The 25,857-nt window shown below is 49.7% G+C and overlaps 4 protein-coding genes across 16 annotated transcripts in view, besides 8 other annotated features; 1 reads left to right on the forward strand and 3 right to left on the reverse strand.

Annotated features, from left to right (window-relative positions):
- Positions 1-11,286, reverse strand: part of SMG5 (SMG5 nonsense mediated mRNA decay factor) — a 42,293-nt gene extending 31,007 nt beyond the window's left edge. For 3 of the 5 annotated variants that reach the window (NM_001323615.2, NM_001323614.2, NM_015327.3), the window contains exon 1: positions 2,377-2,595. In NM_001323615.2, coding sequence (NP_001310544.1) covers positions 2,377-2,450 — 74 coding nt within the window. In that variant the 5' untranslated portion in view covers positions 2,451-2,595. Of the gene's footprint in view, positions 1-1,562; positions 1,695-2,376; positions 2,596-6,402; positions 6,558-11,172 lie in introns of those variants that run through there. The other 2 variants (NM_001323617.2, NM_001323616.2) reach the window with 2 other exon arrangements.
- Positions 676-1,649: an enhancer, noted in NCBI's record as "H3K27ac-H3K4me1 hESC enhancer chr1:156250697-156251670 (GRCh37/hg19 assembly coordinates)". NCBI's record gives its function as "activates a minimal SCP1, AML or CMV promoter by ChIP-STARR-seq in naive H9 embryonic stem cells {active_cell/tissue: H9 hESC(naive)}" and the evidence as "EXISTENCE:reporter gene assay evidence [ECO:0000049][PMID:30033119]".
- Positions 2,213-2,542: a silencer, noted in NCBI's record as "silent region_1425". NCBI's record gives its function as "represses an Ori minimal core promoter by ATAC-STARR-seq in GM12878 lymphoblastoid cells {active_cell/tissue: GM12878}" and the evidence as "EXISTENCE:reporter gene assay evidence [ECO:0000049][PMID:35858748]".
- Positions 2,622-3,593: an enhancer, noted in NCBI's record as "OCT4-NANOG-H3K27ac hESC enhancer chr1:156252643-156253614 (GRCh37/hg19 assembly coordinates)". NCBI's record gives its function as "activates a minimal SCP1, AML or CMV promoter by ChIP-STARR-seq in primed H9 embryonic stem cells {active_cell/tissue: H9 hESC(primed)}" and the evidence as "EXISTENCE:reporter gene assay evidence [ECO:0000049][PMID:30033119]".
- TMEM79 (transmembrane protein 79) lies at positions 2,702-12,213 on the forward strand. Of its 2 annotated transcripts, none has more exons than NR_026678.2 (4): positions 2,702-2,835; positions 4,954-5,753; positions 6,030-6,243; positions 11,155-12,213. NR_026678.2 is itself a non-coding variant. In NM_032323.3 (4 exons), exons 2-4 carry the CDS (start codon positions 4,997-4,999, stop codon positions 11,366-11,368), a joined length of 1,185 nt encoding a protein of 394 aa, NP_115699.1. In that variant the 5' UTR covers positions 4,095-4,176; positions 4,954-4,996; the 3' UTR covers positions 11,369-12,213. The 2 variants fall into 2 exon arrangements, 1 of the variants encoding a protein (NP_115699.1); NM_032323.3 differs by lacking the exon at positions 2,702-2,835 and adding an exon at positions 4,095-4,176.
- Positions 11,168-11,462: an enhancer, noted in NCBI's record as "tiled region #13552; K562 Activating DNase matched - State 14:Gen5', and HepG2 Activating DNase unmatched - State 1:Tss". NCBI's record gives its function as "activates a minimal TATA promoter and a strong SV40 promoter by Sharpr-MPRA in K562 cells, with weaker activation in HepG2 cells {active_cell/tissue: HepG2 | K562}" and the evidence as "EXISTENCE:reporter gene assay evidence [ECO:0000049][PMID:27701403]".
- Positions 11,168-11,502: a biological region, named in NCBI's record as "Sharpr-MPRA regulatory regions 9834 and 13552".
- Positions 11,208-11,502: an enhancer, noted in NCBI's record as "tiled region #9834; HepG2 Activating DNase matched - State 1:Tss, and K562 Activating DNase unmatched - State 14:Gen5'". NCBI's record gives its function as "activates a minimal TATA promoter and a strong SV40 promoter by Sharpr-MPRA in HepG2 cells, with weaker activation in K562 cells {active_cell/tissue: HepG2 | K562}" and the evidence as "EXISTENCE:reporter gene assay evidence [ECO:0000049][PMID:27701403]".
- A 244-nt stretch (positions 12,214-12,457) lies between the features above and the next one.
- GLMP (glycosylated lysosomal membrane protein) lies at positions 12,458-15,449 on the reverse strand. 8 transcript variants are annotated; one of them, XR_426762.4, is made up of 6 exons: positions 15,296-15,449; positions 14,529-14,786; positions 14,135-14,335; positions 13,788-14,006; positions 13,388-13,480; positions 12,458-12,979 (listed from the first exon to the last, which is right to left on the reverse strand). XR_426762.4 is itself a non-coding variant. In NM_001256604.2 (6 exons), the coding sequence occupies exons 1-6, from the start codon at positions 15,413-15,415 to the stop codon at positions 12,814-12,816; spliced, it is 1,074 nt and encodes a 357-aa protein (NP_001243533.1). In that variant the 5' UTR covers positions 15,416-15,449; the 3' UTR covers positions 12,458-12,813. The 8 variants fall into 8 exon arrangements, 7 of the variants coding, with proteins under 7 accessions (NP_001243533.1, NP_653181.1, NP_001243538.1 ...); NM_001256604.2 differs by lacking the exon at positions 13,388-13,480 and adding an exon at positions 13,090-13,199; NM_144580.3 differs by lacking the exon at positions 13,388-13,480 and adding an exon at positions 13,090-13,346.
- A 2,944-nt stretch (positions 15,450-18,393) lies between these two features.
- Positions 18,394-19,077, reverse strand: VHLL (VHL like). Its single transcript, NM_001004319.3, has one exon. The coding sequence runs from the start codon at positions 18,957-18,959 to the stop codon at positions 18,540-18,542; it is 420 nt and encodes a 139-aa protein (NP_001004319.1). The 5' UTR covers positions 18,960-19,077; the 3' UTR covers positions 18,394-18,539.
- Positions 21,189-21,689: an enhancer, noted in NCBI's record as "H3K4me1 hESC enhancer chr1:156271210-156271710 (GRCh37/hg19 assembly coordinates)". NCBI's record gives its function as "activates a minimal SCP1, AML or CMV promoter by ChIP-STARR-seq in naive H9 embryonic stem cells {active_cell/tissue: H9 hESC(naive)}" and the evidence as "EXISTENCE:reporter gene assay evidence [ECO:0000049][PMID:30033119]".
- Positions 22,735-22,935: a silencer, noted in NCBI's record as "peak424 fragment used in MPRA reporter construct". NCBI's record gives its function as "represses an SCP1 promoter by STARR-seq MPRAs in K562 erythroleukemia cells {active_cell/tissue: K562}" and the evidence as "EXISTENCE:reporter gene assay evidence [ECO:0000049][PMID:32103011]".

Genomic DNA, 25,857 nt, shown 5'->3' on the forward strand with positions numbered 1-25,857 from the left:
GGCAGGAGCTATAAGAACATGTGAATCAGGCACAACTGTGGACACAAAAGCAACAAAAACAGAGTGAAGATTCCCAAACAAACCAAGACGTGCTCCCGGGCCAGGAAAAGTGGGCCACAACAGTTGGCACCCTGTGGTGGTGGTGGCTCAGGAGGCACACTACTAAGCTGCCCTACACAGGGTGAAGTGACTGCCAGCACCCAGCAGAGTAGGTGGGATGGTAATCGATACCTTCTCACAAGCAATCATGTTTCTTCAAACTGGACAGCCTAGAGATGGATGCCAAGCCCTTTTGGCCAACCTGGCCCTCGATGCCAGGGGCAGCACCAGTGATTTACTTTATACCAGCTCAGTCCCTAGGGCAGGGCTTTTATCTTTGGTGCCATGGAAAGAGCTAATGGGAGTGTATATTTTTATAGACAAGCTCCACAGCTCTCCTTATATCCTTAATCCAAAAGAAGGTAAATAACCACCACTCTAGGAAGTTCTAATTGAAAACGCTTAAATATGAGAGGGCTCACCACTTTTTTCTCATTTTCCATCAGATCATAAGCTCCTCCACTAAACTATAATCTCTCTTAGAACAAAAACTACAAAATCTAGCCGTGTGTTTCATTCACTATTGTACTCTCGGGCCTAGCAAAAACAAAAATGTTTTTAAAAACAAATAACTAATGAATTGGCCTAATTAATTAATTGGTGCTTCCAGGCTCCTTTCTCCTGCTGCCCTTTCTTCTGACTTAAAATATTTCAGAATTTCATATCCGTAAACAGCTAGGTGTGAGAGTTCCCCAAATTTCTGAAGCTCAGAGTGACAAGTCCATAGTCTAACAACACATTTATCTTGAGCAGAGAAATCAGACTTTCCTCCTAGTTCCTTCCACTGATCACCACTGCTATAATAAATTATAAAAACAGTGATTGGCTGCCTCAAATTTCTACCCTGCTCAAAGCCAACAACACAATTACAGGCAGATACCCATGTGCACACAGGTAAGCCACACAGGCAAACACATCAGCTTAGGTTAGTCCTGTGAATGTAGTGGTTTAAGAAAGAACTACATTTGATGACAACTGGAAGGATGACCAGAGCCATCCCCAAAAGCTGGAGACAAGGAATATTGCAGACACTGCCCACGCTCTGTCTGACAGGCAGCACTGACACTCGGCAGCATGATAAGGCACACGTGCCACCCCCAGCCAACTCCTCACCCGCCTGGGGACTGCTTGGGGCAGCCCATAGTGGGAGCCCTGGGGCCGCTAGATTGAATCACTTTTCTATTTTTGGAGCAGCCTATACTCCCCTCTGCCTCTGGCTTACAAAGCCAGAGAAGGCAGGATGCCTACTCAAAGAGAAAAAGACAACATGCTCTTGACTCTTTCACCGCCAAAATGTGGCCAAGGCTCTGAGGGTCGTCTTCTCATGCAAATATCCGTGTTCTATAAAGCCTGAGCTAAATGAAAACCCCAAACTCTACTCTGTAGTAGAAGGCACAAAACTCAGTTTCCACGCTTCATCCTATTTTGACCCAGTTGCGGAGCCCATGTTCCAGTTGACCTACCCAACAAATTCTCCACCTTTGATGGGAAGAGCTCATTCGGGCCTGTTGCCAACAGAGGGCTGAAGGGCTGAAGATGTGACTTGTGGAGCGTGGGTGGCATTATGGAAATCAGAAACCAGGAACGGAAGTTGCCTGGCAAGAGACTACAGTCATGAGGCTGGGAGGAAGGCAGGACTCAGGAGTCCCCAGGTGCCCGGAATTGCCTCCCAAATCCCAAGAACGCTCTGGACACAAAAGTCGTTCGTGACCCTTCCAGGCCAAGACTTTCTCATTCGGACTCCTCAAAATTAGAGCCGTATGGGACTTTAGAGCACATCCAATTCAAATCGTTCTTTTTAAGGATAAGGAAACTGAGGCCCAAGGTCACACCGTGAGAGAGTGGCAAAGGATGGACCTGAACCTAGCTCCACGGACTTCAGTCCAAGACTCTTCCTTGTAAATCCCCCAGGATTCCAAGCACCGTTCCCTTCCGGGTTTTTCTACACCTGTGACCCCACCTTCACCTACCCAACCCTTCCAGCCTTCAATTCCCACCCTATTACCCCAACTCCACCAAGCTTAGTGCCCGCCCCAAGAAAGCTCACTGCAGAGGGGATTCCTCCACGTGCTTCCCTCCAAACCTCCCACCTACCCAATTCCTCCTTTCAGTTCCATCCCGAGTTACTACGGGACCCCGCCCCGCCTCCAAAATTGCACCCTCCTTCCTCACCCGCACCTCACCCCGACACCCGGGCCCCGCCCGCCCGGGAGGCCCCGCCCCTCGCCGTCTCCCCACTTCCCTCGGTGGCTGCTCTCACGCCCTGGCCCCTCTCACCGGTAAAGCCGCTTAGTGTGGAGGACTTTTGCTTCGGGCTCGCTGCTCTCCCCTGTGGGGGGGCCTTGGCTCATGGTGCCCGGGTCCGGGGGCAGCTCCCGGTCACAGGCCCCTGCCACCCACCACTACCGCCAACACTGCCGTCTCCGGCCGTAGCCGCAGCCGCCGCCGCCACCGGCCCTGCTCGGCCGCCATCGCTGTGAGGCGGCTGCCCGCGACAGCTCCTCCTCCGCCTGCCAAATCTCGCGATGGCAGCCGCACAGTTGCGGACCAGTGGCCTGCTGCTACCAAATCTCGCGAAACTCGTTTTCCCTCCCGGGAAGTTGCCAGAACTAACTCTGGGCAGCATGGCGTCTTTCCGGCTTCTCCAAACCCTTGCGAAAAACTTTATTGGCAAAGCTATCAGAGAACGGACAGTGTACCCACTGAGGCGGCCAAAGCTTAACTGGATCAGGGCAGGTGAGCTTACAGCTAGGAGCGTGACTGCTTTGTCCTACAATGGTCATTTGGTCCATCCTTCTGCCCCTTTCCCGCCTCCCCGTTTGAGCCAAGCCTCTTTCAGATTACTGGTTAGAGTGACTCCAGCTTTCCCTTTTCCCCCATAATTTAAACAAACAAAAAGTGCATGTGAAAGTTTCCTTGGAAAGGGCCGAGCATCACATAGGAGTAAAGCCCCGGAAGAAATGACTTGTACAAGCGTCTCGGCCCTTCAGCTCCCCTCCCAAAGATTTCCAGCTTGCATATCTATCTCTTACGAGCCAGTAACATTTATTGAACTGCCATCTTCCAGCCACAGTGCAAGATTCTAGACACACAGAGGTGAGCAAGCTAGACACTATCCCTGCCCTCCCAAAGCTCAAATGATTTTAGGGATAAGGACTCATAGAAATGAGAAGCTAGTCCCTAACGTTTCTATCTCCTAATCCTCACATTGGAAATCAGGGCAGGTGGGCTTACAGCTAGGAGCGTGACTGCTTTGTCTTGTTTTAGCTTAAAACCTAAGTTAAAAAGCAAGGGTGGTTTGTTTTGTTGTTGTTGTTTTTGCCTGTGTATGAATTGTAATGAGAACATAAATTGCCCTTCTACCACTATGCTCCTGGCTGCAGCCACCCACCTTCTTTCTGTTCCTGAAACAGCCTAAGTCTTTCCCATCCATTGGTCTTTCACTTGCTGTTCCTCTGTCTGTAACACTCATACTCCTGATTTCCCATCAGGTTTCAGCTCAAATATTACCTTACCAAAGAGGTCTTTCCTATTAAAATTGTCTAATTGATTTAGTTGCTAGGCTTCTTCATTATGTTACCCCAATAGAACATAAGCTTCTCAAGGGCAGAGACCTCAACTGTCATCTTGTTCTCTTCTGTGTCTGCCTAGCTAATAATTGGTGTCCAGTAAGTATTTACTGAATGAATAAGTGTACAAATTCCATTTCTGGGTATCCCAGCCTACTCCGAGCACCCTTTGTTGCACAAATCCACTTTTCTCCCTCTGCTTTCCTGAGCTGGGAGTTCTTACGCATTCCAGGTGCCTAGAATGTGAACTTACCCCTTTGCCCAGCTGCATCCCAACTTTCAGAAAGGATGACATCCTCCTCTGATGCTTTTTTTTGTCGGCAGATTCAGCAGGGCGGGGCCTGCCCCTTTAAGCTGGGCCCCACCTGCTCTGGTCAGACAGGTTTTGAGACACAGGTAAAGGGAGGGAGACAGAGAGAAATACTTGCAGAGCCAGCAGGTAGCTGGGCAGCTCCTTCCCGGACGGACGGATGGACAGACGCTGGGGACCCTCCACTCCATATGGAAAGTAAGAGGATGTCATGGGTCCAAACTGCAAGGTTTGGAGTGCCCTTGAGATAAAGGAAGGGAATCAGTCCCATCCAGAAGCAATGAGATGGAGGGCAGCAGGGAGGAGAGAAAGACAGGAGAGAAGGCATAGAAAACAGCCATGATCAGACCTAAATATCAGAATAGCAGACCCAGGCCCTGCAGAGATGGATGAGGTGGGCTAGTGAGGAGTTTGGGAACTGACCAAGTACCAGTGAAGGAAGAGGGTGCCTGGAACTGCCAGCTCTTTGGGTCAGATCAGTTGGCAAATCACTGGTCTCACTTGGAATGCAGGAGGGTTCCAAGCAGGGATGTGTAGGGATGGGACAGTGGAGAGGAAGCTTCTCTGTCTACAGCAAGATCCTCAGTGGGAAAGAAACTTGGCAAAGTTCTAGACACCTCTTCTGCCTCCTATTCCTGCATTAGAGTGGCCATGACTCCAGGGGTTTTGGTGGAGGGGCATAGAAGGCGTGGGTGGAGGCTGACTGAGTTCACAGCTGCCAGGGCCTGTGTCCCTTGACTCACCCTCTCCTGTTGGACGGCATTTGATGTCGAAAGGGTGCCTCCATTTCAGCTGCTCACTTCCTTCCCTCCTCCCTCTGTTTCAGTGTCTTCCTCTGTACCACGTTCTCCCTAAGGCTCCAGAAGGGGCCAAAACCCATGAAGCCAGTTGCCCTGGAGAGTATGAGTTCTGTCAACCTGTCCTAATAACTAGAAGACAGGGGTTTCTGACAGAGCTTTCCTCTGTTCCCTGCAGGATGACATGACCTTGTGGTAGATCCCAGAACTGAGGCCCCAGGATGACAGAACAGGAGACCCTGGCCCTACTGGAAGTGAAGAGGTCTGATTCCCCAGAGAAGAGCTCACCCCAGGCCTTGGTTCCCAATGGCCGGCAGCCAGAAGGGGAAGGTGGGGCCGAATCCCCGGGAGCTGAGTCCCTCAGAGTGGGGTCTTCAGCTGGATCTCCCACAGCCATAGAGGGGGCTGAGGATGGTCTAGACAGCACAGTAAGTGAGGCTGCCACCTTGCCCTGGGGGACTGGCCCTCAGCCCAGTGCTCCGTTCCCGGATCCCCCTGGCTGGCGGGACATTGAACCAGAGCCCCCTGAGTCAGAACCACTTACCAAGCTAGAGGAGCTGCCCGAAGACGATGCCAACCTGCTGCCTGAGAAAGCGGCCCGTGCCTTCGTGCCTATTGACCTACAGTGCATTGAGCGGCAGCCCCAAGAAGACCTTATCGTGCGCTGTGAGGCAGGCGAGGGCGAGTGCCGAACCTTCATGCCCCCCCGGGTCACCCACCCCGACCCCACTGAGCGCAAGTGGGCTGAGGCAGTGGTGAGGCCGCCTGGCTGTTCCTGTGGGGGCTGCGGGAGCTGTGGAGACCGTGAGTGGCTAAGGGCTGTGGCCTCCGTGGGAGCCGCACTCATTCTCTTCCCTTGCCTACTATACGGGGCATATGCCTTCCTGCCGTTTGATGTCCCACGGCTGCCCACCATGAGTTCCCGCCTGATCTACACACTGCGCTGCGGGGTCTTTGCCACCTTCCCCATTGTGCTGGGTGAGCCTGTGAGAAGAAAGGGGGCATCGGGAAGTGGACTTGAGGAGGGCAGGGCCTGGCTGGTGTGGGGAGCAGGAGGATTTCCCTTCACTTGACCTGGGCCCCTCAGGGTCTCCCACCCCCTGCCAGTCTGCATGCCCATCTCCTCCCAGGACCACCTCCACCCCACTGTGTAGAGCCCATGCACTGCCCACAGTGAATCTGCCCCCAGCTTACTGCCTCTTGTGCCCTTCCCCTGCCTTTTCTGACCCTACCCTGTTTCCCAACTCCACCCAGGGATCCTGGTGTACGGGCTGAGCCTGTTATGCTTTTCTGCCCTTCGGCCCTTTGGGGAGCCACGGCGGGAGGTGGAGATCCACCGGCGATATGTGGCCCAGTCGGTCCAGCTCTTTATTCTCTACTTCTTCAACCTGGCCGTGCTTTCCACTTACCTGCCCCAGGATACCCTCAAACTGCTCCCTCTGCTCACTGGTCTCTTTGCCGTCTCCCGGTAAGTTGGGGCAGAGGGTGGGGCATGGGAGAGGGGATGGTGCTAGAGAACCTAGGCATCTGAATGTCTGGAGAGCCAGGGTCAGGAGCTTTCCGGATTCTACACTGGCCCAAATGTGTGCCCTGGGGAGATAAGTCCACCTTCTCTCTTGCACCTTACCTCAGCTGGTCAGCAGATGGAAGCCGATTTCAGAGACATATATAACCATATGGAACAAGAAGGCTTTCAGGTGTCATCTAGATCAATGCACCCATTGCAGCCACTCCTGTGGCAATCTGGTCAGGTAGCTGTTTTGGTCTCTGGTTGAACACCCCCTGTAACCAAATGTACAACTTAAAAATAGATATATTTTTTCAAAATAGAGACAAGGCTGGGTGCAGTGGCTCATGCCTGTAATCTCAGCACTTTGAGAGGCCGAGGTGGCAGATCACTTGAGGTCAGGAGTTCGAGACCAGCCTGGCCAATATGGTGAAACCCTGTCTCTACTAAAAATACAAAAATTAGCTGGGCATGGTGGTGCACACCTGTAGTCCCAGCTACTGAGGAGGCTGAGGCAGGAGAATCGCTTGAGTCCAGGAGGTGGAGATTGCAGTGACACAAGATCGTGTCACTGTACTCTAGCCTGGACGACAGAGCTAGACTTCATCTCAAAAAAATAAATAGCCGGGTGTAGTGGCTCACGCCTGTAATCCCAGCACTTTGGGAGGCTGAGGTGGGTGGATCACAATGTCAGGAGCTCGAGACCAGCTTGGCCAACAAGGTGAAACCCCAGGTCTACTAAAAATACAAAAAATTAGCCGGGTGTGGTGGTGGGCATCTGTAATCCCAGCTATTCAGGAGGCGGAGGCAGGAGAATCGCTTGAACCTGGGAGGCGGAGGTTGCAGTGAGCCAAGATCGCGCCATTGCACTCCAGCCTGGGTGACAGAGTGAGACTCCGTCTCAAACAAATAAATAAATAATTAAAATTAAAAAAATATAGAGATGAGGTCTCAAGGTTGGGGGGCCTGGTTGAGGGTACTGTCCTTCTCTTCCTGTTTGTCAATGAGGGGATGGCCCTGGTAGAGGGTACTGTCCTTTTCTTCATACAAACCAAGGATGTGTGAGCTCTCCTCGCAGCCTTCTTACTCTCCACTTTTTTTTTTTTTTTTTTTTTTTTTGAGACAGTGTTTCACTCTTGTTGCCCAGGCTGGAGAGTACAATGGCAGGATCTCAGCTCACTACAATCTCCACCTACTGGGTTCAAGCGATTCTCCTGCCTCAGCCTCCCGCGTAGCTGGGATTACAGGCGCCCACCACCAGGCCCAGCTAACTTTTTGTATTTTTAGTAGAGATAGGGTTTCACCATGTTGGCCAGGCAGTTCTTGAACCCCTAACCTCAGGTGATCTGCCCGCCTCAGCCTCCCAAAGTACTGGGATTACAGGCGTGAGCCACTGCGCCTGGCCCTTACTCTCCTTTCATTCAGACTTTGCCATCACCTAAAATCCTTAGGGGTACTTTGGGAGGCGGAGGCGGGCAGATCATGAGGTCAGGAGATTGAGACCATCCTGGCTAACACGGTGAAACCCCGTCTCTATTAAAAATACAAAAAAATTAGCCGGGTGCGGTGGCGAGCGCCTACAGTCCCAACTACTCGGGAGGCTGAGGCAGGAGAATGGCGTGAACCCGGGAGCCGAGATAGCGCCACTGCAGTCTGGCCTGGGTGAAAGAGTGAGACTCCGTCTCAAAAAAAAAAAAAAAAAAATCCTTAGGGGTATTTTCACATGAACTACTGTTAATCTAGAAGGCACCTTTGAATTTCTTAACCCAAATGCAGGTCTTTTCTTTCCATTTTCCCTAATACATATGCTCTTGTTACTTTTTTTTTCTTTTTTTTTTTTTGAGATGGTGTCTTACTCTGTTACCCAGGCTGGAGTGCAGTGGCGCAATCTTGGCTCACTACAACTTCTGTCTCCAGGCTCAAGCAGTTTTCCTGCCTCAGCCCCCCGAGTAGCTGAGATTACAGGTGTGAGCCACCATGCCCAGCTAATTTTTTTTGTATTTTTAGTAGAGACAGGGTTTCAACATGTTGGCCAGGCTGGTCTCGAACTTCTGACCTCAGATAATCCACCCATCTTGGCCACCCAAAGTGCTGGGATTACAGGCGTGAGCCACCACACCTGGCCTGCTCTTGTTACTTTTGATACAGGATTCCAGGTAGCTCGCTAAAATAAAATATTCTTCCTATTGAGCTAAAATTAGTCTTCCTGTCACTTCTGATTGTGGTCCAGCAGTCAGTTGTCCCACCAGCCTCCTGACCATCATGCAGCCTTGCATTTTCTCCCAATAGGTTTTCCCAAAATAAATATGTTCCTGCTCATGTAACTTAGCCTGCCATCTTAAACTCCTGGGGAATACTGGTTTCAGATAGAAGTTGGCTTAAGCAGTAAAAATCATCAGGGAGCTAAAGGAAGACTCAGTGATTGTCTGGTCCAGGCTTCCCATTTTACAAAGGGAAAATCACAACAGATTAGGGGAAGAGAGTTGCTCAGGTCAGTCGGCAATAGTGGCAGGACTAGAATCCAGGTCCTTTTCCTCTCTTATCCAGGGTCCTTTCTTCTTTACCATGGACAAGTTCATTAAGCAGTTTGTGCCTCAGTTTCATCATCTGTAAAATGAGGTCGTTATGAGGATTAAATGAGTTAATTCATGTAGAGTACTTAAAACAATCTAGTACTTGGTGCCAGGCGTGGTGGCTCACACCTGTAATCCCAGCACTTTGGGAGGCCAAGGCAGGTGGATCATGAGGTCAGGAGATCGAGACCATCCTGGCTAACACGGTAAAACCCCATCTCTAATAAAAATACAAAAAATTAGCCGGGTGTGGTGATGGGCGCCTGTAATCCCAGCACTTTGGGAGGCCAAGGCGGGTGGATCACCAGGTCAGGAGATCGAGACCATCCTGGCTAACACGGTGAAACCACGTCTCTACTAAAAATAAAAATAAAAAATTAGCCGGGCATGGTGGTGGGTACCTGTAGTCCCAGCTACTCAGGAGGCTGAGGCAGGAGAATGGCGTGAACCTGGGAGGCGGAGCTTGCAGTGAGCCGAGATTGGGCCACTGCACTCCAGCCTGGGCGACAGAGCGAGACTCTGTCTCAAAAAATAACAAGAACAACAAAAAAACAATCTGGTACTTGGTTCATTATACTATGCTGCTTCCTAGTGCAGAAGAGAAGCAGCAGTTACTCTTCCCTCCCTTTCACAGGTAAAAAAGAATAGAGGCACATGAATCATGTAATAAGTGGTCCTTCATATATTAAGAAGTGATCCTTCATATATTAAGAGGAAGTTGCTCTCCCCTCCCTCCATTGAGGGGTGTGTATTGAACATATCTTCCACGAAATCTGTGGCTGACCCATCCTCTGGGCTTCAAGCCCTCCTAGAGGTGGCTTCTTTGCTCTCCTCTTTACCTCTGCCCCTCAAATTGGCAGAAGGGAAGGTAATGAACAGGTTTGGGTTCATATCATGGCTTTGCTATTTCCCAGATGTGTGATCTTGGACCAGTCTTACTTAACCCTTGGAATCTTAGTTTCTTCATCTGCAAGAGGATAAATACAATGGAACACACTGCAGCTATAAAAGAATGAGAAAACCATTTTTATATTGATATAAAATGATCTCCAGGATATATTAAATGGGGGAAAAATAAACATGCAGAGACAGTCTATATAGTATGCTGCCATACTTCAGAAAAGGGAAAAATAACTTTTTGCTCATATATGCACTTTTTAAAAAATCACTCAATGTATTATCACACTGGCTCTTCTTCTTCCTTCTTCCTCCTTTCTTTCTTCTTCTTCTTCCTTCTTTCTTCTTTTCTTCTTTCTCCAAGAAAAGCACACTGGTCTTTAAGAAAAAAATAAAAGAAAAAAATCTGCTGGGCATGGTGGCTCACACCTGTAATCTCAGCACTTTGGGAGGCCAAGGCACTTTGGTAGGCTGTGGTGGGAGGACTGCCTGAGCTCAGGAGTTGGGGGCTGCCACTGCACTCCAGCCTGGCTGACAGAGACCCCATCTATAATTTAAAAAAAAAAAAAAATAGGCCAGGCGCGGTGGCTCACGCCTGTAATCCCAGCACTTTGGGAGGCCAAGGCAGGCGGATCATCAGGTCAGGAGATTGAGACCATCTCGGGTGAAACCCCATCTCTACTAAAAATACAAAAAAATAGCCAGGCATGGTGGCGGGCGCCCGTAGTCTCAGCTACTCAGGAGGCTGAGGCAGGAGAATTGCTTGAACCCGGGAGGCGGAGGTTGCAGTGAGCTGAGATCGCACCACTGCACTCCAGCCTGGGTGACAGAGAGAGACTCTGTCTCAAAAATAAAAAAATAATAATAATTTAAAAAATCACTCAGTGCACAAGAAACCATAATATTGATGCCTGGGGTGGGGGTGGGGGAGAATAGGGTGGGAATCGGTAAAGGGAGGAAGATATTTTACTATACTCATTGAATTTGCTCAAACATTTTAAAGTTTGTACAGCCAGGTGTGGTGGCCCGCATCTGTAATCCCAGCTACTCAGGAGTCTGAGGTGAGAGAATCACTCAAGGCCAGAAGTTTGAGCCCAGACTGGCAACATAGCAAGACCATGTCTCTAAAAAAATAAAAATAAATCGAAAAGTAAATAAAAGAGGGAAAGGAATAACATACTCAACTTCATAAAGATGTGGGGAAGTCAAATCAATCACTTATAGTAATTAGCGCTGTGCCTAATACATGTTAAGTGCATAAACTTTGGCTGTATTTGGAAGTACCAGCCATACCCACCAACTGCATCTGCCTCCCCTATCTACTCCCCCCACCGTCAGCCTATTGCCAATCAGCTGACGCGCTTCCCTCGAGAGTAGCCTGACCCTTTTCTTGCCCCCATAGGCTGATCTACTGGCTGACCTTTGCCGTGGGCCGCTCCTTCCGAGGCTTCGGCTACGGCCTGACGTTTCTGCCACTGCTGTCGATGCTGATGTGGAACCTCTACTACATGTTCGTGGTGGAGCCGGAGCGCATGCTCACTGCCACCGAGAGCCGCCTGGACTACCCGGACCACGCCCGCTCGGCCTCCGACTACAGGCCCCGCCCCTGGGGCTGAGCCTCTCCGCCCTCGCCCTCGGAGTAGGGGGTAGCGGCTTGGGTCTGACACATCTTTGAACCTTGTGGCCAGGCCTGGACTTCGCCCCCAGGCCTAGGACCGCGGTGGGTGGAACCCTGCTACTGCCCCAACAGGGACTCCAATCAATCGGAGTTCTCCCCTTGCCGGAGCTGCCCTTCACCTTTGGGGCCCGAGACAGTCATAAGGGATGGACTTAGTTTTCTTGCAGGGAAAAAGGTGGACAGCCGTGTTTCTTAAGGATGCTGAGGGCATGGGGCCAGGACCAGGGGAGAGGCACAGCTCCTTCCTGAGCAGCCTCTCACCACTGCCACAAGGCTCCCTAATGCTGGTCTCTGCTCCACTCCCCGGCTTCCCGTGAGGCAGGAGGCAGAGCCACAGCCAAGGCCCTGACCACTTCTGTGCCAGTTGTCTAAGCAGAGCGCCTCAGGGACGCTGGAAATGCCTTAAGGATAGAGGCTGGGCATCACATCAAATGGGACTGTGGTGTTTGGTGAAAACCTTCCTGAGGATCTGGATTCAGGACCCTCCATGACTGGCCTATTTACTGTTTACAGCTGGCCAGTGCAGAGCTGCTGCTCTTTTACCTTTTTAGGCCCCTGTAACTTCCCACCTTTAAACTGCCCAGAAGGCATGCCTCTCCCACAGGAAGAGGGGAGCAGACAGGGAAATCTGCCTACCAAGAGGGGTGTGTGTGTCTTTGTGCCCACACGTGGTGGCTGGGGAGTGCCTGGATGGTGCGGTGGTTGATGTTAACCTAGTGTGTGTGTGTGTGTGTGTGTGTGTGTGTGTGTGTGTGTGTGTGTAACAATAAATTACTACCAGTCTTTGCTGGCTCTTTTTTCCTGTTTGTCCCCCAGTCTCGAGTGTCCCTTCCCTGTTTAATTCAGATGACGATAGAAACCTCCCAGCTCTACCTGGTGGAGCAGGGCTGGCAGGTTCCTTGGTTCCACAGCAAGGAAATGGAGCCTCAAACAGAAACTTGCCTTCCAAGCCCATCTCTTAGCCCTTCCATTCCCTGGAACCAGCCCAAGACCAGCCCAACAACACTCACACATCAAGAGACTGGAGCCCTGTGAAAAAAAATAAATCTATTTTCTTGCCTTCCAGGGCAGCCAACCAGTCAGAATGCCTCTCATTTAGGCCTGCAAGTCCCATCCAAGGGAAATGTGTGGAGATGCAAGAAGGCAACACCAAGGGGACCTTATCAATAGCCCTGTCCCCTGCCCGCCTCCAAAGTCCCCCAACAAAGTATGAAGGAAGCCCCACCTGGGGGTCTCCAGGAAGTCGAGGCTGGCCTCTGAGGTTCCACAGAAAAGCAAGATGGGGGAGTGAAGGGGCCGGCTGGAACTTGATGCTCCAACCTCCAGAGTTTCGAGGCACAGCAAGACAGGTTCAGTAATGTCCTTCCCTCCAGAGAGCGGGCCTTAATTTATGGACTGGTACTCTGAGTACTTCTTGTGGTGCAGCAGCAGAACCAAGCCGCCCCCTAGCAGCATGAGCCCTGGGGCACCCAGGGCCACTGCCATGATGCCCAGGACTAGTGGGGACAAGCCGTCCACTGGAGGGAAGCCCACACCCAGGAGCATCGACCTAGAGCAAGCAGAGAGAGAGAGGTAAGCGGGCTTAGGAGGAAAGGCTGGGAGGCTCAGCCTTTGTCCACTTCAACTCCCCAAGTCCCCGGCCCAAACCCTGGCTCTCACCAGCTGAGGTAGTGTTGGTCCCAATAGCCAGGGCCTGTGGAAGCCCCGAACGTCAGATTGAAGGCACAGAAGTTATTCTGGGACCCAAAGAAGGCTCGGACAATGGGTGACTGGGGAAGAGAGTATGCTAAGGCAGGATGAAGAGGGGAAGCTTGGCAGGGCAGGGCTGATTCTCGGCCCCCCGGCTTCTGGGAGTAAGCCACTGGTCGCCACTGTGCAAAGCCTGATGGGAGGGAGCCCCACAGTAGCTGGTCCAACTGGGAAGAAAGGCAAACAAGGGAGGGTAAAGAGGACCAACCTGTGCCCGACCCTCTTTTCCTTGCCACTCCCAGCCTTATTCTGTGACTAGCAGCAGGAGTCCTGAGTCCTAGGCAGGGCCTCAATCCCTCCTCTGTAAAAATGGGGAGTTCGACTGGGTGAGGACTGAGTTGTTTTCCAAACCTCCAAGTCTGGACTCAGCCCTCCTCTTGGCCCCTAGCCCCCTTGCAGATCTCCATCTGCCAGAGTGTAAGTCATATTGCACTTTCTGTCTGTCTCCACTGAGGGCAGAGACTGGGTCAGATTCATTAGCACAGTGCCTAGCTCTTAAACGACCCAAAGAAAGTGTTGCTAAATGGCAAATGGTTGAATGAGTTTTAGGTCCCAATGGTGTCCCACCTACATTCCTCACCCATCTGCCTCTCTCCAGGAAGCCTGACCTGGAAGACGGCCGGTGCATATTCATCGTCGATGGAGTGCTGCTCCTGCATTGAGGGGCAGTCAGGGCCCTGGCCCAATGTGGCTACCTCCAGCCCAAACAGGGAACGGTTTCCCCGGGGAGAGGCTCCAATCAGGGCCACCTCTAGCTGACAGGTGTCTGCTGTGTGCAGGAGGCGAGGGGGTTGGGCTGGTCGGCTGGACCTGGAAAAGGCCTGGACCTAGGAAGGAAGAAGCATGGGAGGTGTGGGAAATAGCTGGATGCCTGTGCTTAAGGGCCACCTCCATCATTAAATCCCACCCTCACAAATCAGCCTTTTTGAGCTCTTTCCGATTTCTCACGCCTTACCCTGAAGGCCAGGCTGCCATTGGCAAAAGTCCTGGTAGGGTCGTTCATGGGGTGGCCTTGAAATGTGGCACTCAGGGTGGCAGGATCCAATGAATCAGTGATGTTGTTCCAAGAGAAATCGGCCAAGGAGTATGGAGGATATGGTCTTCCCAAAGGCTTTGCTGCCGTATCGGACACGTTGGTGCTGTCAAACTCAAGCAGCTGGAGGGTGGGGGTAGGGTGGAACTGGGCTTGCCTCAGTTTTTCTCCCGAGACCACACCTCCCACTCACCCCCTACCAAGGCTTTCATATCTGAGTCTATTTCACCCACCCCCAGTCTTTAGTTCCACCCTCTAATTGGGATGAACTCTCTCCTCTGCACTCTTCTCCTTGGTTCTCTCCCAACCTCCTCACCCTGGTAAAAACAAGGGCAGAAGAAAACTGAATGCTGTCCTTAGGGAGCACCATCAGGCCCCCATCGGGCTCAGGGGATAGCAGGAGGCTCCAGTTGACGCTCAGGGTGCTGTGGGGGGTGTTGGTGGCCACCATTACCACTGCCAGAGGCCCCAGGCTGCTCCACACATAGTGCAGTGTGGAATTGGTGCCCACTGCCCGTATATGAAGCAGGTTCTGCAGGGGGCCCAGCCAGTTAGGGATGACCTCCAGAGACACCTGGAACATGGAGTAGTGGAGGGTTGAGGGAACAGGACCAAGGAGAGACACAGGCAAAAGAGAAGCTTGAGGGGAGGGGGGCTTGGAAAGTGCTGGACAAAGGATGGGATTTTGGGGACTAGACAAGAGGAATGTGTGCGGGAGCTGAGGGAACCCTGGGGTAAGGGGCAGTGGGGACAGGATGAAAAGGGGTAGGGTAGAGGGTACAGCCAGGACTCCCCTGACCCTGGTGGGCGGGTCAGGGCACAGGGCTGCGAAGAAGAAAACATTCAACACTTGCCTGGACCTGGGTCACCCAGGGCTGAGTCGGGGTCCAGACATCACCCTCACATTTGCCCTACTCCACAATCCCGTCCCATGACCCATGACCATCTCCCACACCCTCCAGGTTGAAGAACCCTCCTCTTGGCAGCCACCCTCCACCCCTAGCCCCTGGATGCCCGGTTCCAGCCACCCTGCAAGGGTAGCGTTTCCTGAAACTTCTATCGCTGTAGCCCCAGGGCCCTCACCTGGCGGGTCTTCTCCCCCAGCAGGCCAAATGGGGCTGCAAACAGAAGTAGAGTCCAAAGGAGCAGGGGGCTGGGGGCACAGTGCCCCCAACCCCAGGTGCACTCCACAGAGCCGCGCATACGGCCGCAATTCAGCCGACGGAAGAGGTGCCAGAGGGTCACATGACTCGCGTTCAGCTGATCCCTTTCAAGGGCGGAGCCGCCAAACTATTTGCTTTTTAAAAAAATTTCCTTTCGTCAGCACCATTTAATGTATTAAAGAACAGCTTTGTATTCTATCTTAAAACAGGAAACGTCAGTCTCTTACAAGTAATACAATTTAATATGGTCACAAGATTTTAAGTGAAAAAAAAAACATTCATGCTACAAGTTTTCAGTTTTCCTTGGACAATGCCAAAAACACAGTATTCAAACGGCATGTTTTAAGAGGAACGTGAAATCTCATTTTGACACAAAGACAGGTTAAAGAAAATAAACCCAACAGGGAACTACTCCAGTACATTGCCTTAAGTTCCCAACCCTGTCCCATTGTGGAACTCATACACCTTCTTTCTACTCCAGCACATGAAACTCTGTGGTTCTTCTTCCCTGTGGAACAATGTGGTTCTTCTTCCCTGCCTAACATTTCAACAAAAATTGTAAATATTTAGAGATGTGTCACTAAATGACAACAACATACTTCCAAAAAAGCCAACTTATTTGTTAAATGTTGAAAGAAAAGGCCGGGCACGGTGGCTCACACCTGTAATCCCAGCACTTTGGGAGGCTGAGGCAGGTGGATCACAAGGTCAGGAGTTCAAGACCAGCCTGGCCAAGATGGTGAAAGCCCGTCTCTACTAAAAATACAAAAAATTCACTGGGCACGGTGGCAGGGCCCTGTAATCCCGGTGGCAGGCGCCTGTAACCCCAGCTACTCGGGAGGCTGAGGCAGGAGAATCACTTGAATCCGGGTAGTAGAGGTTGCAGTGAGCCAAGATTGTGCCACTGCACTCCAGCCTGGGCGACAAGAGCGAGACTCCGTCTCAAAAAAAAAAAAAAAAAAAAAAAAAAAAAAATATATATATATATATATATATATATATAGAGAGAGAGAGAGAGAGAGAGAGAGAGAGAGAGAAAGAAGGGGCTAGGCCGGGCACAGTGGCTTACGCCTGTAATCCCAACACTCTGAGAGGCCTTGGTGAGTGGATCACTTAAGGTCAGGAGTTAGAGACCAGCCTGACCAACATGGTGAAACCCCGTCTCTACTAAAAATACAAAAATTAGCCAGGTATGGTGGCAGGCGCCTGTAATCCTAGCTATTTGGGAGGCTGAGGCAGGAGAATCGCTTGAACCTAAGAGGCAGAGGTTGCAGTGAGCCGAGATTGCGACATTGCACTCCAGCCTGAGCAACAAGGGGCAAAACTCTATCTCAAAAAAAAAGAAAGAAAGAACGGGCTAAAATTTGGTGAAATTTAAAAGGGTTGTAGAAAACTTTGGAGTGTTTGTTTTCTTCACTTCACTCTGATTTTATTTTATTTATTTATTTTGAGACAGCATCCTGCTCTGTCACCAAGGCTGGAGTGCAGTGGCACAATCATGGCTCACTGCAGCCTCAAACTCTCGAGCTCAAGTGATCCTCCTGCCTTAGCCTCCCAAGTAGCTGGGACTTCATGCACATGCCACCATGCCTGGCTAATTTAAAAAAATTTTTTTTTGTAGCGACAGGGTCACACTATGTTGCCCAGGCTGGTCTTGAACTCCTGTGCTCAACTGATCCTCTCACATGGGCCTCCCAAAGTACTGGGATTATAGGGGTGAGCCACCACACTAGCCATCACTCTGATTTTAGAACACAGGGCTTGTGCACAAAGGTTAGGATAAGGAACTAAAGATGCCAAAAAATACCCCAAACATTAATTGCAAAAGAAAGACTAATGTTTATGAAGAGCTTATAACATGGAAAAATATTTGTTATAAAATTAAATGAAAAAGTAGGATACAAAACTATATAAACAGTAAGATCTCAACTATGTAAAAAAGGATAAAGGAAATAGCTCAAAATGCTAATAGCGGTTGTATTTAAGTAGTGTATCTATAGTGATTTTTTTTTTCCTTTTTCCTTTTCTGTCTCTTCCAAATTTTTCTCTACTGGGGGGATTTTTATTGTTGTTGTTGTTGTTTTTTGTTGTTGTTGTTTGTTGTTGTTTTGAGACGGAGTCTCACCTGTCGCCCAGGCTGGAATGCAATGGCGAGATCTCGACCCACTGCAACCTCTGCCTCCCGGGTTCAAGTGATTCTCCTGCCTCAGCTTCCCGAGTAGCTGGGATTACAGGCACACGCCACCATGCCCAGCTAATTTTTTTTTTTAAATGGAGTCTCGCTCTGTCACCCAGGCTGGAGTGCAGTGGTGTGATCATGGCTCACTGCGACCTCCACCTCCCGGGTGGAAGCGATTCTCCCACCTCAGCCTCCCACGTATCTGGGACTACAGGTGTGCGCCACCATGCCTGGCTAATTTTTATATTTTTAGTAGGGACAGGGTTTCACCATGTTGCCCAGACTGCTATTGAACTCCTGAACACACACACACAAAATTAGCTGGGCATGGCGGCGCCTGTAATCCCAGCTACTCGGGAGGCTGAAGCAGGAGAATCGCTTGAACCTGGGAGGTGGAGGTTGCAGTGAGCCAAGATTGCACCATTGCACTCCAGCCTGGGCAACAAGAGCGAAACTCTGTCTCAAAAAAAAAAAAAATTCTTCAGTCTCTTCTTCCATCCATTAATTTTCTTTTCTCTCTCTCTCTTTTTATTTATTTATTTTTGAGATGGAGTCTTGATCTGTCGCCCAGGCTGGAGTACAGTGGTGCAATCTCAGCTCACTGCAACCTCCACCTCCCGGGTTCAAGCAATTCTCCTGCTTCAGCCTGCTGAGTAGCTGGGATTACAGACATGTGCCACCACGCCCAGCTAATTTTTGTATTTTTTAAGTGGAGACGGGTTTCACTATGTTGGCCAGGCTGGTCTCGAACTCCCGACCTCAAGTGATCTGCCTGCTGCGGCCTCCCAAAGTGCTGGGATTACAGGCGTCAGCCACCGTGCCCAGCCATCCACAGATATTCACTGTGCTCCTGCGTCAGCCGCTCCAGGTCTTTCAATCACATTTGGATGATCTTCCAGATCGTCATAGAGTGATCTGACGATGTCCAGTCTCCTGTAATTCTTGGGCTTGACTAGGCTTCCGACAACCTGGAGGCATTGCTCTTTCAGGGTATACACTGCAGTGTGATGTTGGCAAAAACAGGCTGTCCATTAACATTGGAAGATGGCACAAACAATTCAGTTTGGTTAACCAGAAGCTTATCATGTGTCCTTGCATCTCTGAAGAGCCAAGGGTGGCTTCGGAAGTTGTGGATGCGGAAGTCCCTGCCGGGCAGCAGCGTCAGGTAGGGCAGCAGCTTGCCATAGTAGTTGAGCCACACAGGCAGCACGATTCGTGGGCTGTGATTGCAGATGATGATCCGGGAGAGCTCGCGTGAGTTCACAGAGCGCAGCACAGGCCATGCTGCTCTGGCTGCCATCTCCTCCTCGGCGCCCAACTCTTCCTGGCAGTACTCTTCTGGGCCTGCCTCCTGGGTGCCCGCCTGGGCCTCTAAACCCACCCCGTTCCCCGCTCTCCAGGGCATTACCTCCGAAGCCTTGACAACTTGGGCCTGCCCATACCAGTTCTTAAAGAGACTACTTCCGTTCACCCGGATTTCGGCAAGAGTTACAATGGAATCAGAAAGGCTGGGAGTATATAACCCCCTACCTGGGTGGTAAGCAAGACATCCTAGATCAGACAGACTTACTCCCAGCCTCTCTTACCTAGCCCGTCCCACTGAAGAGCTACCTATAGTGGGAGAGATCCAAATGGGACCCCAATAATACAACTGTGATAGGAAGATCCAGAGAGGAATTTGAGGGTATTCCATGAGATAGCACACCTGAGGGTTCTTTATGTCAATCTAATATTTATTGGACACTTCATGGCCAGGCGCAGTGGTTCACACCTGTAATCCCAACACTTTGGGAGGCCAACGTGGATCACCTGAAGTCGGGGTTCCAGACCAGCCTGGCCAACATGGTGAAAACCTGTCTTCACTAAAAATACAAAAAAATTAGCCGGGCATGGTGGCGCATGCCTGTAATCCCAGCTACTCGGGAGACTGAGGCAGGAGAATTGCTTGAACCTGGGAGGCAGAGGTTGCAGTGAGCCAAGATCACGCCACTGCACTCCAGCCTGGGTGACAGAGCGAGACTCCATCTTATAAACAAACAAAAAATTAGCCAGGCATGGTGGCAGGCGCCTGTAATCCCAGCTACTAGGGAGTCTGAGGCAGGAGAATCGCCTGAACCCGGGAGTTGGAGGTTGCAGTGAGCTGAGATGGAGCCATTGCACTCCAGCCTGGGCAACAAGAGTGAAACTCCATCTCAAAAAAAAAAAAAAAAAAAAAAAAAAAACTGTGGTGAAAAAAAACTGCATCTCAAAAAAGCTGTGGTGGCCCACGCCTGTAATCCCAGCACTTTGGGAGGCCGAGGTAGGAAGATCAGGAGGTCAGGAGATTGAGACCATCCTGGCCAACATGGTGAAACCCCATCTCTACTAAAAATACAAAAATTAGCCGGCTGAGGTGGTGCACGCCTGTAGTCCCAGCTACTCGGGAGGCTGAGGCAGGAGAATCGCTTGAACCTGGGAGGTGGAGGTTGCAGTGAGCCGAGATTGCGCCACTGCACTCCAGCCCGACAAAACAGTGCAAGACTCCATCTCAAAGAATAAAAAAAATTAAAAAAAAAGTGCATCCCACCAGATATCACCTCCCTCTTTTGACAAGTACTTGTATTGCCCCCATATCCTATTTTCTCATATCCTATCTTTTCTCCACAATAAAATTGTGAACTCTTCTTGGACCAGAACCCGAATAACGAAGTGTTCAATAAATATTACGTTTTTTGGTTTGTTTGTATTTGTTTGTTTGTTTTTTCGAGATGTGGTCTAGGTCTGTCACCCAGGCTGGAGTGCAATGGCATGGTCTCGGCTGGTCTCAAAACTCCTGACCTCAAGTGATCTGCCCGCCTTGGCCTCCCAAAGTGCTGGGATTACAGGCACGAGCCACTGCACCTGGCCTACTTTAATCTTATTTTGACTAATAAATGAACATGGTACAAAATCCAAAAGGTACCAAAGGGCTCAGTGTGGTATCTCATGCCTGTAATCCTGGCACTTTGGGAGGCTGAGGTGGAAGGATGTCTTGAGTCCTGGAGTTCAGGACCAGCTTGGGCAACATAGCCTGACCCCATCTCTACAAAATAATACAAAAATTAGCCGGGCATGGTGGTGCATGCTTGTGGTCCCAGCTTCTCCGGAGGCTGAAATGAGAGGATCCCTTGATCCTCCCATTGCACCACTGCACTCCAGCCTGGGCAACAAAGTGAGGATAGCAACAGGAGGCAGACAAACAGACAAATCCTAGGCAGACAGGGGCAGGTTCCTGATGAAACCCCACCTTCAAGCCGAAAACAGTTGAAAGCCAAGCTACAAGTCCTCGGTAAATGCACAGGTGGGATTGAGAACCACTCTTCCCGTTTGTTGCACTTTCCTCTGATTGATCCCCACGCGTCACCTATTTTACATATACCCACCCTTCCCTAATTGGTTACACTGTCATGCCCATCTTTGAGAGGTGCCTTTATTTATTTATTTATTTATTTATTTATTTTTTGAGATGGAGTCTCGCTCTGTGGCCCAGGCTGGAGTGCAGTGGCGTGATCTCGGCTCACTGCAAGCTCTACCTCCTGGGTTCAGCCATTCTCCTGCCTCAGCCTCCTGAGTAGCTGGGACTACAGGCACCCGCCACCACGCCTGGCTAATTTTTTCGTATTTTTAGTAGAGACAAGGTTTCACCGTATTAGCCAGGATGGTCTCCATCTCCTGACCTCGTGATCCGCCCATCTCAGCCTCCCAAAGTGCTGGGATTACAGGCGTGAGCCACCGCGCCCAGCTGAGTGGTGCCTTTGTTTTAGCTTTTTTTTTTTTTCTTTTGCATACACTCAAACCAATCTGCACACACACACCCATTTTGAGCCCATCAAAGCCCCGGACCCAGCCACAAGGGGAGAGAAACCACCTAACTTGGGAGACCACTCTCCTGTCCCTTCTCCATTAAGAGTTGTTTCGTCACTCAATGAAATTCTTTCCGACCCTCTTCACCCTTTGAACTGTCAGCATAACCTCATTCTTCTTGGATGCATGACAAGAACTCGGGAACTGCTGAACGTGGGTACAAGCTGAAACACAGGCAGCCTGGGGCATGCCCCAGCCCAGCCAAGGGCTGAGCCAGTGTGCAAGCCAGGCGTGGCCAGGTGGGCTAAGTGGGCAGGGTACCTCCGGCAGCAGGCCCGGGGCGCGAGGCCTGGGCAGGAGGCATTGCCGGCTGCAGAGGTCCCCGGCTGGCAAAGTGGCTGAGAAAAATCCTGCGTCATGGAGATCTTGTCACAAAAAAAAAAAAAGAAAAAAAAAAGTACCAAAGGGCATCATTCCTATTCACCAGCAAACTGGTCCCTCCCAAGACAACCATCACTACCAGTTTGTTTGTTTTGTTTGCTTGCTTGCTCTGTTGGCCAGGCTGGAGTGCAGTGGCACGATCTTGGCTCACTGCAACCTCCACCTCCTGGGCTCAAGGAATTCTGCCTCAACCTCCCAAGTAGCTGGGATTATAGGCATGTGCCACCACATCTGGCTAATTTTTGTATTTTATAGTAGAGATGGGGTTTCACCATGTTGGCCAGGCTGGTCTCGAACTCCTGACCTCAGGTAATCCGCCCACCTCGGCCTCCCAAAGTGCTGGGATTACACGCATGAGCCACCGCTCCTGGCCCACTACCAGTTTCTTATGTATCCTTCTAAAGATATCCTATACTTAAGAATACAAATATACAGAAATTACATATAAATAATACACAGTGGTACCCAAACACTGTTCTTCAGTTTTTTTTTGTTTTTTTGAGACGCTGTCACACCCAGGCTGGAGTGCAGTGGTGAGATCTTGGCTCACTGCAACCTCCACCTCCTGGGCTCATGCTATTCTGCCTCAGCCACCCAAGTAGCTGGGATTACAGGCGTGCACTTCCAAACCCGGCTAATCTTTGTATTTTTAGTAGAGATGGGGTTTTGCCATGTTGCCTAAGTTGGTCTCGAATTCCTGAGCTCAAATGATCCACCCACCTCGGCCTCCCAAAGTGCTGGGATTACAGGCGTGAGCCACCACACCTGGCCCCAATTTGCATTTTTAACTCATATATTGAGGAATGTTCTGTTATCAATGCACTTGGAGTTATCTCATTCTCCTTGCAGGGGTATGTTCCATGGATCTATTTAACCAGAACCTTGTTGATGTAGTAATATTTTGCTGTGACAAACAATGCTGGAAAGAATATCCCTGTCTGAAATGGACTCAACCAAGGAGAAATACTGAGATCTCAGCATTTCATATTAATAACCAAATTCAGCAGGATACGTACCAAGGAGTGGAATCGTCAGCTCAAACTGCCCTTTATATGAGGTTTACCAATTGACACTCAAACCACATGCTTAGGAGCACATTGCAAGTGTTTACCAAATTATGCTTACATTTCCCTTTGAATAAGGTTAAGCATCTCTTCATGTTTTAGTCAATTTTTGCTCCTCTGGAGCTTTTTAAATCCTTTGCCTATTTTTCTACAGGCCTCTTCTTAATCGTCAAGTTCTAAAAGTATTATGTTGTTGTTGTTAAGACAGGGTCTTGCTGCATCATGCAGGCCGGAGTGCAGTAGTGCAAACATAGCTCAATTGCAGCCTCAAACTCTGGGGCTCAAGTGATTCTCCCACCTTAGCCTCCTTAGTAGCTGGGACTATAGGCATGCACCATCTTGTCCACCCTAAAAGTTCTTTAAGGAAATTAACTTAATGTTGTTGCAACATCTTCTCTCCCTTGTGTTTTTGCAGTGCAAACTTTGTATGGAGTTTCCTACCCACTCACATTTTTTTTTTTTTTTTTTTTGAGATGGAATTTCGCTCTTGTTGCCCAGGCTGGAGTGCAATGGCACGATCTTGGCTCACTGCAACCTCCGCTTCCTAGGTTCAAGTGATTCTCCTGCCTCAGCCTCCCGAGTAGCTGGGATTAAAGGCATGCGCCACCACACCAGGCTAATTTTTTGTATTTTTAGTAGAGACAGAGTTTCTCCATGTTGGTTAGGCTGGTCTTGAACTCCCGACCTCAGGTGATCCGCCCGCCTCGGCCTCCCGAAGTCCCCTCACATATTTTAAACCCCATATTTCTTCTAGTGCTCTTATGGTTATATTTTCTTATATTTACACCTTTCAGCTGCCTGGAACTAACTTTGTTGTAATTTAGTAGGGATCCAATTTCCTGCCTCCCCCACAACCACAAATAGCTACTCCGGAAATAAACTCTCAAAATGTTCTCAGAAACTCATTTTGCTGGAGAAAAAAGGTATAGTTGGCTTGGCCCTCTGTATCTGCTGGCTCCTCATCCACAGATTCAACTGTGGATTGAAAATATTTGAGGAAAAAAGGCCGGGCGCGGTGGCTCACGCCTGTAATCCCAGCACTTTGGGAGGCCGAGGCGGGCAGATCACAAGGTCAAGAGATCGAGACCATCCTGGCCAACATGGTGAAACCTCGTCTCTACTAAAAATACAACCGGGCTGTAATCCCAGCTACTCGGGAGGCTGAGGCAGGAGAATTGCTTGAACCCAGGAGGTGGAGGTTGTAGTGAGCCGAGATTGTGCCGCTGCACTCCAGCCTGGCGATGGAGCAAGACTATCTCAAAAAAAAAAAAAAAAAAAAAAAAGACAGAAAAAGAAAAAGAAAATATTTGGGGAAAAATTTAAAATACTACAAATAAAACAGTATAATAACTATTTACACAGCACTGACATTACATTAAGTTACATAAGTAATCTAGAGATGATTAAAGTATATGAAAGAAGGGCTGGGTGTTGTGGCTCACGCCTGTAATCCCAGCACTTTGGGAGGCCAAGACGGGCGGATCACCTGAGGTCAGGAGTTTGAGAGTAGCCTGGCTAACGTGGTGAAACCCTGTAGCTACTAAAAATACAAAAATTAGCTGGGTGTGGTGGCGGATGCCTGAAATCCCAGCTACCTGGGGGGCTGAGGCAGAATCACTTGAAACTGGGAAGCAGAGGTTGCAGTGAGCTGAGATTGCGCCATTGCACTCCAGCCTGGGTAACAGAGGAAGACTCTATCTCGAAGAAAAAAAAAAAAAAGAAAAAAATTATATGGGAGAATGTACATAGGTTATATGCAAATAGTATGCCATTTAATGTGTCCTGGCTGTGTATGGTGGCTCATGCTTGCAATCCCAGCAATTTGGGAGGCTAAGGCGGGCGGTTCACTTGAAGTCAAGAGTTTGAGACCAGACTGACCAACATGGCAAAACCCCATCTCTATAAAAAATACAAAAATTAGCCAGGCATGTAATCCCAGCTACTCAGGAGGCTGAGACATGAAAATTGCTTCAACCCGGGAGGTGGAGGTTGCAGTGAGCCAAGATTGTGCTGCTGCGTTCCAGGCTGGGTGACAGAGATTCTGTCTCTAATAATAATAATAATAATAATAATAATAATAATAATAATAATAAAATAATAAGCTAGGTGACAGAGATTGTCTTTAATAATAATAATAATGATAATGATGATGTAAGTGTCCTGAACAGCTGCAGATTTTGGTATAGGGGAGTGTCCTGGAACCAATCCCTCACAGATACTGAGAAATGACTGTACGTTTATCTTCTAAGGTATCAACTCTGGAATCTGATAAGGGAGAATAAAAACAAGTCTTGACTGAGTGTAGATGGCTTAAATAGCAGTCAGGAATTCAAACTCCCACACCAGCCCCCAAATTACTGCTTTATGGCAGGGGAGATGGGACTTGACTAAAATGTAGGAATTTGGCAGGGGAAGGATCATCAGCAGAGTCAAGGACATGGGAAAACCACACTCATGGAATCAAATGTTTAGTGAATAGGGTTCACGCAGGGCAGCAAAAGTGGCCTGGGCAGCCTTTCATCACTGTTAAAATTTTTGTTTGGGCTGGGTGCGGTGGCTCACGCCTGTAATCCCAGCACTTTAGGAGGCTGAGGCGGGCCAGGAGTTTGAGACCAGCCTGACCAACATGGAGAAACTCTGTCTCTACTAAAAATACAAAAATAAAAAATTAGCCGGGCGTGGTGATGCATGCCTATAATCCCAGCTACTCGGGAGGCTGAGGCAGGAGAATCATTTGAACCGAGGAGGCAACAAGAGTGAAACTCTGTTTCAAAAAAAAAAAAAAATTTTTTTTAAATAATTTTTTGTAGACAGGATTTTGCTAGGTTGCCCAGGATGGTCTTGAACTTCTGGGCTCAAGTGATCCTTCTGCCTTGGCTTTCCAAAGTGCTGGGATTACAGGCATGAGCTGCCACATATGGCCTATGCTAAATTTGTAAATCACTAAGTTCTAGACAGCAAAGTGGGGCTTTGAAA

Source organism: Homo sapiens, chromosome 1, assembly GCF_000001405.40.
Source record: "Homo sapiens chromosome 1, GRCh38.p14 Primary Assembly".
NCBI lineage: Eukaryota > Metazoa > Chordata > Mammalia > Primates > Hominidae > Homo > Homo sapiens.

What these genes read in the sequence shown, in the direction of transcription:
- TMEM79 (NM_032323.3), top strand. Translation starts at nt 4,997, where the DNA reads ATGACAGAACAGGAGACCCTGGCCCTACTGGAAGTGAAGAGGTCTGAT. An exon ending in CACCTTCCCCATTGTGCTGG is followed by an intron (nt 5,754 to 6,029) that starts GTGAGCCTGTGA and finishes AACTCCACCCAG; the next exon opens with GGATCCTGGTGTACGGGCTG. An exon ending in GGTCTCTTTGCCGTCTCCCG is followed by an intron (nt 6,244 to 11,154) that starts GTAAGTTGGGGC and finishes TTGCCCCCATAG; the next exon opens with GCTGATCTACTGGCTGACCT.
- VHLL (NM_001004319.3), bottom strand. Translation starts at nt 18,959, where the DNA reads ATGCCCTGGAGAGCGGGGAACGGGGTGGGTTTAGAGGCCCAGGCGGGC.
- GLMP (NM_144580.3), bottom strand. Translation starts at nt 15,415, where the DNA reads ATGCGCGGCTCTGTGGAGTGCACCTGGGGTTGGGGGCACTGTGCCCCC. An exon ending in CTGCCCTTGTTTTTACCAGG is followed by an intron (nt 14,336 to 14,528) that starts GTGAGGAGGTTG and finishes CCCACCCTCCAG; the next exon opens with CTGCTTGAGTTTGACAGCAC. An exon ending in GACCAACACTACCTCAGCTG is followed by an intron (nt 12,980 to 13,089) that starts GTGAGAGCCAGG and finishes TGCTTGCTCTAG; the next exon opens with GTCGATGCTCCTGGGTGTGG.